The sequence below is a fragment of the Homo sapiens genome, chromosome 12 (assembly GCF_000001405.40).
Source record: "Homo sapiens chromosome 12, GRCh38.p14 Primary Assembly".
NCBI classification, from domain to species: domain Eukaryota; kingdom Metazoa; phylum Chordata; class Mammalia; order Primates; family Hominidae; genus Homo; species Homo sapiens.
In genome coordinates this window covers 122,073,286-122,091,201 of record NC_000012.12, presented here as the reverse complement: position 1 = coordinate 122,091,201, position 17,916 = coordinate 122,073,286, and the positions used below count along the sequence as shown (strand labels likewise).

The following is a 17,916-nucleotide window of genomic DNA, read 5'->3' as shown; positions in this document are numbered from 1 at the left end:
TTGCACTTCCCAAGTCAGATTCCTAAAGATAATGTTGAAAGTCAGAACTGTTTTCAATATTTTTTAAACAATAACAGCTTATTGAGACATAATTTACACACCATCAAAGTGACCCTTTAAAAGTGTTCAGTGGTTTTCAGTATATTCAGAGTTATGTAACCATCGCCACCCTAATTTTAGAACATTTTCATCACAGCCTCAAAAAAAAAACAACCCATTAGCAGTGACTATCCATTTTCCCTTTCCCCAGCCCTTGGCAGCCACTGCTCTGCTTTCTGTGTCTATGAGTTTGCTACTCTAGGCCTTTCGCATCAACAGATCACATACGTGGTCTTTTGTGTCTGGCTTCTTTCACCTAGTGCAGCGTTTCCAAGGTTCTTCCATGTTGCAGCATGCATCAGTACTTCATTGCAAAAGTTGTTTTCAATATTTTTTATTTCTGGGAAGATAGCTTCAGGTAGATCAATGTTTTTAAAAGTATTTACTTGCTCATGATAAAGCCATGATGGTCATCCTTCAAATAAATGCAATTTTCCTAACATTTTATTAAGAAAATTATCAAACATACAGGGAAAGTTGAAAGAACTGTACAATGAATACTCAAGTACCCACCACCTGAATTCTTACAATTATAACTACTAAGCCATTTCTCCATCCATTAATCCATCTTATTTTGTTATGTGTTTTGTTTTGTTTTTTTTTTTTGAGACAGAGTCTCGCTCTGTTGCCCAGGATGGAGGGCAGTGGTGGGATCTTGGCTCACTGTAACCTCTGCCTCTCGGTTTCAAGAGAGTCTCCTGCCTCAGCCTCCCGAGTAGCTGGGATTACAGGCATGTGCCACCACACCAGCTAATTTTTTTGTATTTTCGGTAGAGACAGGGTTTCGCCATGTTGGCCAGGCTGGTCTCGAACTCCTGACCTCAAATGATCTGCCTGCCTCGGCCTCGCAAAGTGTTGGGATTACAGGCGTGAGTCACCACACCCGGCTGGGTAAGGCTTATTTCATTCAACATAATGTTTCTGAGATTCATCCATGTTGTGGCATATACTGGTAATTTGTTTCTTTTTAAATTACTGAATGCGCTTTGTTCCTAAGGTAATATCTTTCAAAAAAGAAAGCCATGGAAGAAGAGTAAGGTTGGTAACCATGACTCCAGTCTAACCCTCTCTCTCTTGCATCCTCCACCCTCATGGGCACCAAGACTTAAGGAGCTAAGGGGCAGATGCTAACCAGTCGCACCACTGTCTTGTGGCTTCCAATCCCATCATCTTTCCACATACCTCACAGCCATTTCCTTCTTCTCATCCTGTAAGGAAGTTCCTAGCTGATTCTATAAGAGCCTTATTACAGGAAATGGGAAGTCAATACCCGAATAACAAAGGTACTAGGTGTCTCCTCAAAAACATGTCAAGAAAACAAAATGTGGTACATCCAAAAAACTGAAGACTATTCAGCATTAAAATGCACTAAACACCTGATGTGTGCTACAACATGGATGTACTCTGGGGATCTTACTGAGGTGATGGAATGTCCCAGCACTGGGCTGTGACAATGACTGCACAACTAAAAAAAAAAATCACTGAACCTTACACTTACAATGGGTCCATTTTATGCTATGTAAATTACACTTACAGAAAGTTGTGTTAAAAAGAAAAAAGCCTGACTACAAACGGATGAAAGAGTTTTCTGCTTCAAGGCAGAGAAAGATCTGCTTGATAATTTAAAGACAAAAGAGGCAATTTAAAAGACCCTGCTACTCAACTAGAAAACAGTTGTTTAAAACACCAAGCTAGGATAATTATATACTGTTTTAAGAATGCATTGAAAGCGTTTCCTTTTAATAAATAAAAGGAATTTATTGATTCACTTTCTTTAAAAAGCTCAGTATCAAGCTATCTGGGCAGGTCCCAACTGCCAGTCTTAAAATGAGGCAGCCCATTGTGAACGGGCTGGTTACCATGTGACCATGTAACCATATGAAGAGGTTCTTCAGGCTGTTCTATTTGTTTGTTTGCTTGTTTGAGACAGGGTCTTGCTCTGTCATCCAGGCTGGAGTGCAGTGGTATGATTATAGCTCTGCTGCCTCCACTTCCTGGGCTCAAGGGATCCTTTTGCCCCAGCCTCCCCAGCAGCTGGGATTACAGACAGGCACCACCACACCCAGCTAATTTTTTTTTTTTTTTTTTTTTTTGTAGAGATGGGGGTCTCACTACATTGACCAGGCTGGTCTCAAACTCCTGGGCTCAGGCAGTCCTCCCGCCTCAACCTCCCATAGTGCTGAGGTTACACACATGAGCCACTGCACCCAGCCTCTTCAGGCTGTTCTTTAAAAAGCTAGAATACTGGGTGAATATCCGAAAACTAGGCTAATTCCCCTGCTTTCTACATAAGAAGCTGTTTTTTTGTTTTGGTGACCGAATTTGCCTCATGGGAGCAGAGCAAACACGGCTGCCCTCCTTCCCCACCGACAGGCCTAGAAGGAAGGAATAGTAACCAGCTTTCAAAGTGGATCACCTACTTGCAGAATATTCCTCAACAGAGAAGCTGCTTTCCTTCTCCAAAGCCTGAAAACTGCCCCAGGCGGCTGCTTCTACCCACAGCCACCTCTTTGTAGGAGCTGTTCCATCTTCTTGTAGGAGCTTTTTCTGACTCCTCAGCCTTTCCTCCTCACCACTGGGATTCTTCATGCTTACTTCCGAGACTTAAAGGCGGATGACATGGAATCCTCTTCCTAGAATTCTTTCTCCAGATGCTGGAGCCCCTTCTGGAGCTACCAAAATCACCCCTTCTCTACTGCCTCCTTCTAGAAGATTTTTCTGATGGTGCAGTCAGCTCCCAAATACATCAACAATGCTGGGCTTGGAGAGGTCTCTAGGGTATTCAAAGCAGACAGTATTTCTCCAGCACCACCAGACTCAGCTGAGCAGAAACAGCCCGCAGGAGATGCATATTCCACGCCACTCAGAACGCAAGCTCCAAACTCCAAAGCCTCCCCTGGAGAGGGACAGCAGAGGGGGAGGGGCAGGGGAGCAAGAAGAAACCTAGGGCACCTGGGTAGGGCAAAGTAGGCGGCTGTGATGTCCACCACACTGACAGCCCTCAGCCCTTCTCAGGGAAGCTGCCCGCCCACGGCTCTGGCTGTCAGGGCAGCCCCCAGGCAGCCGAGCTTTGTGCACTGTGGTGTCCTCAGCGTGACATACCCCAGCTTCACAGCTGACCGCTCCTTGCCCAGCCTTCTTCATTTCAGTAATGGCCCCAGCTGCTCAGGCCAAACCTCAGAGTCACTGTTGATTCCTTTCTTCCTTTCATCTGCCAGGTCCAATTCACCAGCAAGTCCAAAAACCACCCTGAATACAGCTCCTCACCACCTCGCTGCTACCGTCCTAGTCTGAGGCTGGAGCTCCACAACCGCCCAACTGGTAGCCTCGCTCCTGCTCTCACCCTCCCTAGACCCGTCTCCTGTAGACTGGCCCCAGCCGCCCTGTGGAGATAAACCAGTACTCCCCAGTGCCACCAAAACCATCTCCTAACTTCCTACCCTGGCCCACAAGGCCCCTTGCCTCTTCTATCTTACCTCCTGCCACTCACTCCTGCCCTCTACATTCTGACCAAGCTAGCCTTCTTTCTAACCTTGCAATGCGCCAAGCTCACTCCAGCGAAGGCCTCTGCCTGGGCCTCTTCCCGCACCTGGAACGACCATCGTGCCTGGCTCCTACTTGACACTTAGGTTTCAGAGTTCACCCAGAAAGGTCACCTCCCCCAGAGGACTTCTCTACCCAGCCTAAAGTAGCCACCCACCCTCCCCAGCCCCAGTACTCTCTAGCCTTCATCTTCTTTCTATTCTTGCCTGCACTCACAATATAAGACCTGATGTGCTGACAATCCCCCCACTAGCATGGAAGTCCCATGAGGGGAGAGGACTAACCCGCCTTGCTTACCACTGTATCCCCAAGGGCTAGAACCGTGCCTGCACACAACAGGGTGTGCCTGATTAATACTTCTGGAGGGAAAAAGCATTTGTGCTGGGGCGGCCAAACCCAGATCATAGCCAGCCTCATGCTCTGGGGCCCGGCCAGCCAGGCTCCCTCTCAATTAGCCCTCATGGGGCTAATTCAATTAGACAACCGCCAAGAGTGTTGATGGTCCCAGGAAGCTCATAGCAAGGTCCATATGTGAGACACAGGCCCTGGCAGGCTCAAGCTGGGCGGATCCAGAAGCTCCCAGGGGCAGAGCTTTGTACCAGAAAAGAAACAGGGTGGTGGGTGACAGCCGGCGGCAGCACAAGAAGCAGGGCTGCAAAGACGGCAGGGCTGGCCTGTGAGAGTCAGTCTCTTCAAGGCGTCTGGCCGGACAGTGAAGAAGAGCATCTCCCCCGCGGGGGACCTAGCACTGCCTGGAACCCAGGACCAGTCTCCACTGAAATCGGCCAGTCCTCGAAGTCCTGGAATTAGCATGAGGTGACCAGCACCCCATTCCACAGGCCAGCACGAGGGTCCCTGATCCACGCGGCTAGAGAACTCTGCCAAAAACACACACCCTGTGGCCTGAATTCTAATCACAGACAACAGAACTCCAACAAAATACAGAAAGTAATCACCTAAGACACTGGCTATCTGGACTGCACATTTTCTACCCAAGAAGTAATTTGATTCTAGGGAATGAGAGCTCAGGCTCTCATCAGCCATCACATAAATCCTTTAAAAAAAGGAAAATTAACTTTCTACAACACTTCTATTATAGAAATTATACCAGGGAACAAGGATCCACTTTACAGACCTTTCCTTTTATAACCAGGGCCCTCCTATCACTAGATCCCCTCGCTGGTGCCGAGGACCCACGGCATAGCTCAATCTTAAGCCCGGGGTGGGCTCCTCTGCTCTCCTGTGGTGGGAGAAGAGTGAAGATGAGTTTCCTGTTGTCACTGTAACAAATTACCGCAAACTTAGTGGCTTAGAACAACAGACTTTATGATTTTACAGTTCTAGAGGTCAGAGGTCTGATTTGGGTCTCACAAGATTCAGCAGGGCTGCGTTCTTCCCAGAAGCTCTGGGGGAGAACCCGTCCCCTCGCCTTTTCCAGCTCTGAGGGGCCCATATTCCCAATCCCGTGGCTTTCCTCCATCTTCAAAGCTGCCAACAGCAGCTGACATCCTTCCTCTGCTGCTCACTCTCTGGTTCTCTCTTTGATTCCCTCTTAATTTTAAGGACCCCTGTGATTACACCAGGCTCACTCAGATAATCCAGATAATCTCCCTATGTTAAGGTCAGTAGACCAGCAACCTTGATTCCATCTGTAACCTTAATTCGCCTTTGCCATATGACCTAGCACAGTCACAGGTTCTGTGGATGAGGATGTGCACATCTTCGGGGGGCCATTAATCTGCCCACCACACCTGTCCAAGCAAGCCACGATACGAACACCATCCAGCAAAAGCACTTATCTTGTTGTCCCACTCCACGCCAATGTCCCCTAAAGCACCATTCCACAAAGGTTGTGTTTGTCTCTGCAGAGCTCAAGATAAACACAATTCACTTAACTTGTTAGCTTGCAAGTGAGAAAAGAAAAACAAACAAACAAAAAAACAGCCTGACCAACATGATGAAACCCCATCTCTACCAAAAATACAAAAATTAGCCGGGCATGGTGGCATGTGCCTGTAATCCCAGCTACTCAGGAGGCTGAGGCAGGAGAATCACTTGAACCCAGGAGGCGGAGGTTGCAGTGAGCCCAGATCGCGCCATTGCACTCCAGCCTGGGCGACAGAGCGAGACTCCATCTCAAAAAAAAAAAAAAAATTCACTACAGATTATAAAGTTGGCTTCCAGGTCCCTGAGTGTCCCTTTCAATCCATCAGATGATTCTTAATCTCCTAGGATGTGCCGAAGCTGTTAGGCTTAGCGCGGAAGTCAAAGGTGAAGACAGCAGGGATTCTGGTAAGCCGGGATCACATAATGACACAGGCCGAATGACATCAGGGTGCCTTCCAGGGGGATGCGATGTTCATGCACTCTGGGAAGCACAGGGTTTCGCCAGCAGGGAGGGCAGCCACAGAGAGACATGGAGTGGACCGAGGCATCCACCTTCCCCATCTGGGTTTCCCGCTCTGGAGAGGAACTGGCATTTGCACTCTCCTCTAACAGAAGCCGGGCTTTTGTGGGCAGATAAGGTAGGTCACTTTTCTCCTCAAGACACTTTTCCGTGGACAAGTTGTGTAACCTCTCGGTAACACAGCTAATTAACGTCTGAGCTTTGGTTTTTTATTTTTTATTTACTTATTTATTTTTTAAAATGAGGATTCCACCACCACCTACCTGACAGGGTTGTTGTGTGAGTTGCTTAAGATCACGTTAAGAGGCCGGGCACAGTGGCTCACGCCTGTAACCTCAGCACTTTGGGAGGCCGAGACTGGCCGATCACTTGAGGTCAGGAGTTTGAGACCAGCCTGGCCAACATGGCAAAATCCTGTCTCTACTAAAGATACAAAAACTTAGCTGGGCATGGTGATGCATACCTGTAATCCCAGCTACTTGGAAAGCTGAGGCAGGAGAATCGCTTGAACCTGGGAGGCAGAGGTTGCAGTGAGCCAAGATCACGCCACTGCACTCCAGCCTGGGTGACAAGAGCGAAACTCCGTCTCAAACAAACAAAAAAAAAGGTCATGGAAGGAGAATGTGGAACATAATAAATGTTCAGTCTGTGTGAATTCTCTTTTCTTCTTCCACCCGGAAAATAACCTCCCTCCATCCTCTCCTCTAACCTCGTCACCTGGACTCTTTCCCCAGGTCTTCCTCCCCTTCCTCTCCTTCCTCCCCTTCCAGCATGTGGGCAATGAACCAACCAGCGTCTACAAGCAATGGAAGTTTGGTCCCACACCGCTAAAGCGGGGAGCACTGGGGCTTCCTGTTGGGTAATGTAATTGGTAATCTTTGAGAGTTAACAGCGAAAGGGGAGATACACATTGAAGCCTGATGTCAGGAAAACCATCCGCACTGCTCCTGGTCATGTCAACACACACACACACACACACACACACACACACACACACACACACACACAATCTGGCTGAGATATCCTTCCCGGTAGTGTCACAAGAGGTCACAGTTATCACAGCCCTTACTAACTGTTCTATAACTATCTGTCCCCACGCCTAGCCTGTGAGCCCCTTGAGGAGAGAGACTGTGTTTTTTCATCTCTGCAGCCCCGGCTCCCACCTCAGTGCACACCCTGCAACGGCGCACCATCTAATGGTTAAAGACTGAAGAACGCAGGAGAAGAAACACTGCTTATCTTCCGTATGACTGCAAAAGAGAAAAACCAATTTAGTATTTGCATGAAAGGTTTCCATTTACAACTGGTTAACTGTGCTTAGCATTAGACAGTACCTCTACTGAAAATTCAAAGTTTGGAGGACACAGTGCTCTAACCTTTAGCCCTTGCTACTCCTTAAGTCTGGCACAGATTCCCGCTTTGATCAAGAATGAAGGGTTAGCCGGGCCCGGTGGCTCACGCCTGTAATCCCAGCATTTTGGGAGGCTGAGGCAGGCAGATCACCTGAGGTTGGGAGTTCGAGACCAGCCTGACCAACATGGAGAAACCCCATCTCTACTAAAAATACAAAATTAGTCGGGCATGGTGGTGCATGCCTGTAATCCTTGCTACTTGGGAGGCTGAGGCAGGAGAATCACTTGAACTCAGGAGGCAGAGGTTGCAGTGAGCCGAGATCGCACCATTGCACTCCAGACTGGGCAACATGAGCGAAACTCCGTCTCAAAAAAAAAAAAGAATGAAGGGTTACTATACAAAGCATTCGTGGAGGGGGCCACTTTTTAGAAACTTACATCCCAAGGCTATCTTACAAGCCCTAATTTAAGTCTCTCCAAACACCCACTTCTTAAACAGAAACCTATTTTCCAGAAACTGCTTATCTCTAAATACAGAAAAAGACTATCTCTTCCCCCCACCACCGGAAATATTCATACCAACGCTCCCTGAAATAAGGAGTTTCTAAAAAGGCAAAGAAATGGAACCAAAACCAACCACAAAAAGGTACACACTAGAAGTGTTCAGAATCTGTAGGTGGGGGCTGGGCACAATAGCTCACTCCTAGAATCTCATCATTTTGGAAGGCTGAGGTGGAAGGACTGCTTAAGGCCAGGAGTTCAAGACCATCCTGAGAAGCATAGCAACACCCCATATCTACAAAAAATAAAAAATTAGCCAGGCATAGTAGTGCGTGCCCGCAGTCCCAGCTACTCAAGAGGCTGAGACAAGAGGACTGCTTGAGCCTGGGAGGTCAAGGCTGCAGTGAGCTGTGATCACATCACTATCCTCCAGACTGGGAAACAGAGCGAGATCCTATCTCAAAAAAAGGAAATTCTGTGTGAAGGATATACATGTGTGACATTCCTTACAGTGTCAAGAGGGCAAGAACCATGAACTATGTTCTACAGTACATAGCTCCATTGTAGAGCCTCAGAAAGCACCCGGCCAAATCAAGAATGCTTCTATTTAGTATTTGTCAAGCAGGCATTTGAAAGCTCAGCTAAGACCCTGGTTAGATACACTATTTCCTTCAGTTCATAGATAAGACACGGGCTCCTCATAAATGTCAGATGAATGCAGATGCAGAACTAAAATTCTGCCATAACCCACTTGCTATGCGGAGCCCGTTAAACCCTCCTCTTGTGTGTTACTTGCCAGGCACTAGCCCCATTCCCAGCTCCATTCCCAGAGGTTATCTCTGCTGATCCTCACTTCCACCTTGCAGGGAAATTTTATCTTTCCCATTGAATAGCATTCTTAGACTTCAGATAAGTCTAAGGAAAAATAAGGATTTTTTCCATCATTAACACCTGGTTTGCCTCGGGGAAAGGCAACCCCTTCTCTCCAAAATGTCCCAATAATTGAGCACATGTTTCTGGACCAAATCAAGACCCTTCGCCACAGGGCTTCTCAGCAAAACTGAGTGAGAAGGACAAGGAATCCCATCTGCACGGTTCCCTACCCAGCAGGCCCTGGGCACACTCATATCCAAGTCCTCAAACACCCTGTTCCACACCCAAAGTCAGCCCCGGGCAAAGACCCTTCAGGAGGTGAAGCCCTGCCAGTTCAGGAATGGATCACAGTCAGAATCCCTAGGCCACTTCTCAGGACTCGGTAAAAAATAACCACAACTTCCCCTGCACTTAGTTCCTCCCCAGAGAGCTGTTGAACCTCATCTGGAAACAGCTGGGAGGCAGCAGCTAACAGGAAATCAAACAACAACAACAAAAAGCAGAGTGTACCACGGAGAGTTAGACAGCTAGAACGAAGAGGCCAGAGGACAGACAGGAAGTTGAAGTTAGAAAGAACCTAGGCCAGAAACAGTCACACAGAAGAGGAGACCCAGCTGGCCTTTCTCAGCTCGGGCAGGAGGGGAGGACCCAGACAGCCGGCAGGGAAGGCATGAACCCCACCAGGATGGAAGCCAGACAGGCTCTGAGGTTAAGTCTTCTTTCTGCCCTGCCCCCAATCCCTTTTTTTCTTTCTTTCTTTTTCTTTTTTAGAGATGGGGATCTTGCTACATTGCCCAGGCTGATCTTGAACTCCTGGGCTCAAGCAATCCCCCACCTCGGCCTCCCAAAGTGCTGGGACTACAGGCATGAGCCACCACGCCCCGCGTTGCCTCCGATCTCAACCTTCCTTCCCTGAAAGCCAGGTAGCAGTTCTCACTAGGAGAGCTGGGGTCAGAAACTCACCTTCCTCTAGTTTCTTTCTGTGCCACAGACTACAGCCCAGACAACTGGTTTTGAGTCATTTGTCTGTCATCCATACCAAAGTTCTACACTGCCAACTAAACTCAGCACTGGACAAACCAGCCTCACACAGACAGACAAAGGGCATCTTCATGAGAAATGACTGGACAGATCCCATCCGAGGGCCTGTGGTGGTAGACCTTAGGTGGCCGACCTTAGGCAGCAGGAGACCTTAGGCACAGGGAAAAGCAGCGAAAGTGAGAGAGCCAAGAGAGCAAGATAAGCTTCTTGCACCAAACTGATGGTGCATTTTGCAATCAAGAAAGTTAACTGAGCAACGGCCAGCTGCCAAAATATTTTTGAGAGAAATGAAAAAAAAAATGCCATTACTAAAATTATTTGGTGTTGTTTAATAAGCCTTTAGGTTATCCAAACAAGAGTGCAAAGGGGAGACTGATTTAGTTTTCATTTAGCAGAGCTTACTTAGGTGAGACCTTTCCAGTCCATGCCCCCCGTGACTCATCCATTCTCTCCCTGTATATGTAGAAGTTTATATTAAAATAAAGAAGAGGATTAAGTTTTCTTAATAAGATACATTCCAGTCTTTCACCTCGAGCTTTGTTTGAAAAGGCTCTCTCGAGGCATAGCATATGCTGCGATCCAGTCGGGTTTGATTCCAATGGAACTGCTCAAAATCAGAGACTGGAGGGCGCACAGGGCTGCAGCCTCAACACCATTTGTTTTTTAAAAAGCAGAACATCTTTACAGGCTCAGTGCCAGCTCAAACTGGCAAGACCAGAGAATCAGCAGAGACTGACCAATGTGCCGGGTAAGGGGGATGGGAGGAGGAGCTACGGGAACAGATCATCAGGGAAACCTTCAAGAGAGGAAATAGGGGTGTTTCAGGAACATAACAAAGAACAAGTTGACTAATCGTTTATTCCAGGGACCGCGGCGGTGAGGGGGGTGCCATCCAGGGCTAAGTATCTAATATTTTAACTTCAGGTAAAAGCATAACATTTAAACCTGGATATGCTTGGGGCTCACAGCTCTCTTAAAAAGGTGAGGTGAGAGGGGGCAAGATATTCCTGCTCTTTTATTACGCTGTTTATGGAGTCTCCTAGGAAACTTCTCCCGCGATGCCTCCAGAGCAGACCTAAGACAGCCCCCGCTAGTCCAGTTCCTAATGCAATAAGCTTAACTCAGCAGAGATCCCATCATGAGCTTTCTGCAGGGCCAAGCTGCTCAAGGCCGCTGCTGCCAGTCCAAAGAAGTTCTGTTGCGCAGACAAAAAAGTTACCTGCAGCAAATACCTAATATTCATAGTGGGAAAGGGAGAGAGAGTGAAAAAGCGCTTTAATCTTTGAGGGCCAGGCATTTTCTGTGACTTGGAAAAGAGGAATCTCTGCCCAGAGCCGAATCCACATGTCAGAACGGTGTCTGGGATGTCTGCCCTCAACAATGACATCTCCCTCATATAATGTTTCAGGACCGGCCAGAAAACCCTCCAACTTGCCAGAAGGACAGACTGCACCTCCAACAGCTGTGGCACCAAAAGTCTTCTTAGGAGGCACCCAAAGCCCTCCCGAGATGGGGGCGGGCCTCCCGATGAGGTTGTAAGGGGGCCAGCCTCCAGGTGCAGGGACACCTAACTCTGGCCAAGCACTGGAATAAGCAATTTACCTATCTCACTCCATCCCCACAACAGCCCCTTGGAGGCAGACACTACAGTCATTCCCCTTTTATAAAGGAGGAAACAGGCTCCGAGGTGTTACACAACCATTAAACAGCAGAGCCAGCCTCCAGTCACCCCGAACAGGTGGTCCTGACCGCTGCTGGATATGGGGGAAACACACAAAGCGTTTGGAGGAAGGAGTCGATAGAGTCGGGTAACACAAGATGCAGCCAGTGTTTATACCTCTTCCTCGTCCAACATCGGTGGTCCCAGGACACTGGAGGGGAGGGCCTGGATGGGGAACGTGAACCCGAAAGGACCCCGGCACTGCTGGCAGGGGAAGAGGCCAGGACCCCGGCTCCTCTGGCAACGCGGGGAACCCCAGATCCATAAACCCTCCCGAAGGAGGAAGACCCAAAGGGAATGCATGAAGCCACGGGGTTGCCAGGCGGCCCTTCCCTCCACGCTTGTTTTGTCAAACAAGGGCCTCCGGCCGGGGCCTCAGGGGGTCGCGGGGGTCCCTACCTGTAGGCCAAAGTCATGCACTCGAAGAGCTTGGTGAGCGAGGCGTCGATGGACAGGTGGCAGGAGCTAGTCTTGCCGAAGCTGTAGGTCTGGCACGTCTGTTTGTTGACCGTGTCGAAATCGTAGCCCTTCTTGGGCGGGTGCTCTCGGTGCGGCGACGACACCATGAAGTGGCCGCTGTGGATGATCTGCTGGCGGCGCGGAGGTTCCTCGCGGCCCGGCCCGGCCCGAGGCGGCGGTGGCGCGGCGCTCGCGTGGGCCCGGGCCGGGGTGGCCGCGCCGGAGGCGGGCGGCGGGGACGGCTCATCCGTGTCCGAGTCGTCGTCGTCCTCGGACACCTGGGGCTTGAGCAGCACCTGGCGGCCCCGGCTGCGAGGCCGGCGCGGGGAGCACATGAAGACGTCGGCGGCCATGAGAAGGGCTCGGCCGGGGGCATCCCCCGGAGCCCGGGGCAACGCGACAAGCGCGCGAGGCAGAGGGGCGCCGGCCCGGCCCGGCCCGCGCGCCGACTGTCCGCGAGCGCGCGGCGCGGCGGGAGGGGGAGGGCTCCGGCCCCGGCGTGACGTCACCGAGGCGTCTGGGCCAATCGGCTGCCCGCGTCGGCCTCTTAAAGGCGCAGGGGAACCTTTCCTTAGCTAGGCGGACCAAAAAAAAAAAAAAAGGGGAAGCGGAGGCCACGCCTCCCGGCCGTGCCCCTCGCCACCTCCTCCTCTCCCGGCGTCCGTGGGTGCTGAGGGACACGGTGGCCGGGCGGAGCGGCTCGCCGGTGTCGCGACCTGGGAGAGGCGTCGGCAGAGTGGGGCCGTGCTAGTCCCGCCCCCGCCCCGCTCCGCGCCCCGGGAGTCGCCCTGTGGCTTCGCCGCAGGCCCGGCCGGCTCCACGTGGTGGGTGCGGGTGGGGCTCCTCGGCCTCCAGGCCCTGCTTTTTCCCTGCCGGGCGGTACCGAGTCCTCGCAGCTCACGCCTGAGTTTGCCGGACGTGGTGGCTATTGTCCTCATTATTCTCATCGTATTGATGGGAACACTGGGTGGCTGAATACCGACAGGATTTTTCTCAGACCTGGAGTCCACAGAGCTGGGAACTTGCTTCCCCTGCGCGTCCCCAGCTCGGCGCAGCTGTTGAGTGGCAGCGCCCCTGAGCCCAGCGACCTCCAGACCCCAGCTCTTTTAACTTCAACTCAGCATGCTGTTGTTATTTTTTTAAAGTTTGACGGACGAGCCAGCCCCCGAAACAATTCTAAAAGGGGAGTATCTGAGCCAGAGTTTTCTTCTCTGTCAAATGGTGAACAATTCCGTTTCCTCAGAAACTTGGGACAGTTTAAAAATGGCTATAGTGGGGCGCGGTGGCTCATGCCTGTAATCCTAGCACTTTTGGAGGCCGAGGCGGGTGGATCACTTGAGGCCAGAAGTTCAAGACCAGCCAGGCCAACACGGTGAAACCCTGTCTCTACTAAAAATAACAAAAATTAGCCGGTCGTAGTGGTGCACCCCTGTAATCCCAGCTACTCGGGAGGCTGAGGCAGGAGAATCGCTTGAATCCGGGAGGTGGAGGTTGCAGTGAGCCGAGATTGCGCCATTGCACTCTAGCCTGGGCGACAGAGCGAGGCCCTGTCTCAAAAAGAAAAATAAATACAAATAAAAATGGCTATAAGTTGCTTAGCAGGCAGGCTGGCACAAAATGAGCGCTAAATAAATGTGCCACAGGTTGGAGGATTTGGATCAACCAGACCAGAGGTGCCTAGAAATTGCCAATAGTCCACCACTATTTGACCTGCAGAAACGGCAACTTCGCGTGGCACAACCTAACTGACAGACACCTCTAGAAAGCTGTCAAGGTTTCCGGGGCTCAAAGCCAGTCTGGGGTGGGGGTGGCAGGGCATCAGAAGAGCCAGTGAGGCCCATGAGCCAGGAACACCCATCCTAATCCTAGCAGGGCGTCCAGAGTCCACAGCCACTCCTGCACTCTGCTTTGTTTTATTGTTGTTTTGTTTTTTGAGACAGAGTCTTGCTCTGTCACCCAAGGCTGTAGCGCAGTGGTGCAATCACCATGTTGGCCAGGCCGGTCTGGAACTCCTGACCTCAAGTGAGGCCTGCCTTGGACTCCCAAAGTGCTGGGATGACAGGCATGAGCCACCGCGCTGGCTCTGCACTCGGCTTTGAAGCTGGTTTCAGTTCCAGATTTGAGTGGGGGGTGAGTCCCCTGCCCCACCCTCTTCCTGACAAAGGCCTCCTGAAGGGAACAGAGGGCTCTCACCAAAATGGCTCCATTAACTTATTTCCAAATGTCTGTATGGAAAAATGGGCTGGATGACTGGCAGTTTTCAGGCATGAGTTCTAGATTTCCCTCTTCAACCTACTACTGTTCCCAATGCTGGTTACAAGTGTTTAAAAGTCCATCCTTTGAGTTGCCTTCCTTTCTCTCAAGACTTGTCTCCTTGGTCCTTGGTAAGTTTACATGCCCAGCCACTTTTTTTTTTTTTTTTTTTTGAGACAGGATCTGGCTCTTTCACCTGGACTGGAGTGGAGTGGTGCCATCATGGCTCACAGCACCCTCAACCTCCAGGGCTCAGGTGATCCTCCCACCTCAACTTCCCAAGTAGCAGGACCACAGGTGCACACCACCGTGCCCTGCTAATTTTTGTACTTTTTATAGAGATGGGGTCTCGCCATGCTGCCCAGCCTGGTCTCGTCTCGAGTTCCTGACCTCAAGTGATCCTCCTGCCTCAGCCTCCCAAGGTGCTAGAATTACAGGTGTGAGCCACCATGCCCTGCTTTTTTGTCTTTGTGTTTACCTATATTTTCTTTCTTTTTTTTTTTTTTTGAGACAGGGTCTCACTGTGTCACATTGGTGTGATCGTGGCTCACTGTAGCCTCAACCTCCCCTGCCCAAGCTATCCTCCCACCTCAGTCTCCCGAGTAGCTGTGACCACAGGTGGGCACCACCACACCCAGCTAATGTTTAATTTTTTTGTAGAGATGGAATTTCCCTATGTTGCCCAGGCTGGTCTCAAACTCCTGGGCTCAGGCAATCCTCCTGCCTCAACCTCCCAAAATGCTGGGATTACAGGCATGAGCCACCACACCTGGCCTGTATTTTCTAATTTCCAAAATAAACATGTATTACTTATATACACATTTTTAACTTAAAAAGTTAACATCAGTTTCCTGGGAGGAAATAAGCCTTAAAGCTGAGGTTGCAAAGTGGCAACCCATAGACCATATTCAGTGCAGAAACATGCCTTGTTTAATCCCACCGTCAATTCCTAAGAGACTGTATTAGGGAAGACTCTTGGGGAAAATTGCAGTTAAAAATGCAAAAAGCAAAGGACCACTGCATGGGTGGTCCAGTCACGGAAGGTGCTCCAAGCTCACAATCAATGTCTGTAAGGTTAAGGAGGTGGTCTCGACTTCCCCTCCTGCTGAGTAGCGGGCAGCATCGGCAGGAGAGTGGCCATGTAGGATGGCGACCCAGGGAGCTAAAAATCCCATGATGACAAGGAGCTCCCACACCCAGACAAGCCACCAAAACCAGAGCCTCACAGCGTTGTCGTCTCTTCTCCACGAATCAGAAGAAACACTGGATTGGAATCAAATCAGCAGTCAGACAAATAGAAATACCTAAGTATGAAGGGTTACACACCAGCACAAGTCAGCAAATAATTAAGGAAAGCCAGCACTCTGGGAGAAAGCGGGTACCTGAGAACTAGCAAGGGGGAGAAAGTTAACAAATATTTTAAAAATAACTAATAGTTTAGGAAAGAACAGAAGATTCTGTACCATGGAGCAATAATAGCCCATTATGAAAAAGAGGCAAATGAGGTCTTGGAAAATAAATATAAATATACAAATATACAAGTATGATTTTTTAAAAGTTGAGTTGAAACGAAAATATAGAAAAAAAGCAAAGTGAATAAAGCTGAAAAACACAGCAGTAAGCTAAAAGATTAAACTGAAGGTTTATATAAAAAGTAACCAGACATGGTGGCACATGCCTCTAGCCCCAGCTACTTGGGAGGTGACGCACGAGAATCGCTTGAACCCGGGAGGCAGAGTTTGCACCACTGCCCTCCAGCCTGGGCAACAGAGCAAGACTCTGTCTCCAAAAATACACAGGCCAGGCACGGTAGCTCATGCCTGTAATCCCAGCACTTTGGGAGGCTGAGGTGGGCAGATCACCTGAGGTCGGGAGTTTCAGACCAGCCTGGCCAACATGGTGAAACCCCGTCTCTACTAAAAATGCAAAATTAGCCAGGCATGGTGGCGCATGCCTGTAATCCCAGCTACTCAGGAAGCTGAGGCAGGAGAATCACTTGAACCCAAGAGGCAGAGGTTTTGGTGAGCCGAGATCACGCCATTGCACTCCAGCCTGGGCAACAAGAGCGAACTCCATCTCAAAATAAATAAACAAACTGAGGGTTTCTCCCAGAAAACTGCCAAAAGGAAAAGAGAAGTTGTGACATGGAGGATCCATCTAGATAGTTACAGAAAGAAAGAAGTAAACAAGAGAGGAAATAACCAAAGCAGCAATAAAAGAAAATTTCCCAGCGATACAAACACAGCCTTTATTTTTATTTTATGAACCTCCTCTCAGTTCAAGCAATTCTCCTGCCTCATCCTCCAGAGTAGCTGGGATTACAGGGGCCCGCCACCATGCCCAGCTAAATTTTGTATTTTTAGTAAAGACAGGGTTTCACTATGTTCACCAGGCTGCTCTGGAACTCCTGAACTTAAATTGTCTGCTTACCTTGGCCTCCCAAAGTGCCGGGATTACAGACACAAGCCACTGTGCCCAGCCAAGAGCTGCATTAACTGGAGTGAGATGATGATATGGTTTAACTGGGGTGAGATGATGATATGATTTGGGTGTCCCCACCCAAATCTCATCTTGAATTCCCATGTGTTGTGGGAGGGACCCGGTGGAGGTAATTGAATCATGGGGGGCAGGCCTTTCCTGTGCTGTTCTAGTGATAGTGAATAAGTCTCATGAGATCTGATGATTTTTAAAAAGGGGAGTTTCCCTGCACAAGCTCTCTTCTCTTGTCTGCGGCCATGTGAGATGTGTCTTTCACCTTCCACCATGATTGTGAGGCCTCCCCAGCCACATGGAACTGTGAGTCCCTTAAACCTCTTTCTTTTGTAAGTTGCTCAGTCTCGGGTATGCCTTTATCAGTAGTGTGAAAATGGACTAATACAGATGATTTCTCATTTAGTGTGTTGTTGTTTTGTTTGTTTGTTTTGAGACAGGGTCTTACTGTGTTGCCCAGGCTGGAGTGCAGTAATACAATCAAGGCTTACTGCATCCTTTACCTCCTGGACTCAAGTGATCCTCCCACTTCAGCCTCCAGAGTAGCTTGGACTACAGGTATGTGCCATTACACCTGGCCAATTTATTAATTTTTTGTAGAGACTGGGTCTCCCCATGTTGCCCAGGCTGGTCTTGAACTCCTGGGCTTAAGTGATCCTCCCACCTCACCCTCCCAGAGTGCTGGGATTACAGGTGTGAGCCGTCACACCTGGCCTCGTTGTAGTTTTGATTTGCATTACTCTGATGATCAGTGATGTTGAGCATCTTTTCATATACCTGTTTGCCATTTGTATGTCTTCTTTTGATAAATGTCTATTCAGTTCTTTTGCCCATTTTAAATCAGATGATTAGATTTTTTTTCCTGTAGAGTTGTTTGAGCTCCTTATATTGTCACCTCAATAAATTTTAGAGGATAGAAGGTAAAATAGTCTTTTCATCCATTGGCCACATTAGAAAGAATTACTACTAGAGGTTGTTCTCTCCAAGAAGACAAAAATGAAATTCAAGTACGAGAACGATATGGAACACAAGAAACAGTGTAGCACAAAAAATAAAACTTAAAACTGGGTTTTTAAAGTTATGATTAAAAAAAGAGTTTTCGCCAGGTCCAGTGGCTCACGCCTGTAATCCTAGCACTTTGGGAAGCCAAGGCAGGTGGATCACCTGAGGTCAGGAGT

At 49.3% G+C, this 17,916-nt stretch overlaps 1 protein-coding gene across 7 annotated transcripts in view, besides 7 other annotated features; it reads right to left on the bottom strand.

The window, feature by feature from the left end:
• MLXIP (MLX interacting protein) overlaps positions 1–12,446 on the bottom strand; it is a 68,589-nt gene extending 56,143 nt beyond the window's left edge. For all 7 annotated transcript variants that reach the window (XM_006719290.5, XM_006719292.5, XM_006719291.5 and 4 more), the window contains exon 1: positions 11,936–12,446. In XM_006719290.5, the coding sequence (XP_006719353.1) occupies positions 11,936–12,348 (413 nt within the window). In that variant the 5' untranslated portion in view covers positions 12,349–12,446. The remainder of the gene's footprint in view (positions 1–11,935) is intronic.
• Positions 8,170–8,219: an enhancer, noted in NCBI's record as "active region_7204". NCBI's record gives its function as "activates an Ori minimal core promoter by ATAC-STARR-seq in GM12878 lymphoblastoid cells {active_cell/tissue: GM12878}" and the evidence as "EXISTENCE:reporter gene assay evidence [ECO:0000049][PMID:35858748]".
• Positions 9,827–9,876: an enhancer, noted in NCBI's record as "active region_7203". NCBI's record gives its function as "activates an Ori minimal core promoter by ATAC-STARR-seq in GM12878 lymphoblastoid cells {active_cell/tissue: GM12878}" and the evidence as "EXISTENCE:reporter gene assay evidence [ECO:0000049][PMID:35858748]".
• Positions 9,947–9,996: an enhancer, noted in NCBI's record as "active region_7202". NCBI's record gives its function as "activates an Ori minimal core promoter by ATAC-STARR-seq in GM12878 lymphoblastoid cells {active_cell/tissue: GM12878}" and the evidence as "EXISTENCE:reporter gene assay evidence [ECO:0000049][PMID:35858748]".
• Positions 11,864–12,103: an enhancer, noted in NCBI's record as "active region_7201". NCBI's record gives its function as "activates an Ori minimal core promoter by ATAC-STARR-seq in GM12878 lymphoblastoid cells {active_cell/tissue: GM12878}" and the evidence as "EXISTENCE:reporter gene assay evidence [ECO:0000049][PMID:35858748]".
• Positions 12,164–12,613: a silencer, noted in NCBI's record as "silent region_5009". NCBI's record gives its function as "represses an Ori minimal core promoter by ATAC-STARR-seq in GM12878 lymphoblastoid cells {active_cell/tissue: GM12878}" and the evidence as "EXISTENCE:reporter gene assay evidence [ECO:0000049][PMID:35858748]".
• Positions 12,624–12,903: a silencer, noted in NCBI's record as "silent region_5008". NCBI's record gives its function as "represses an Ori minimal core promoter by ATAC-STARR-seq in GM12878 lymphoblastoid cells {active_cell/tissue: GM12878}" and the evidence as "EXISTENCE:reporter gene assay evidence [ECO:0000049][PMID:35858748]".
• Positions 14,171–14,220: an enhancer, noted in NCBI's record as "active region_7200". NCBI's record gives its function as "activates an Ori minimal core promoter by ATAC-STARR-seq in GM12878 lymphoblastoid cells {active_cell/tissue: GM12878}" and the evidence as "EXISTENCE:reporter gene assay evidence [ECO:0000049][PMID:35858748]".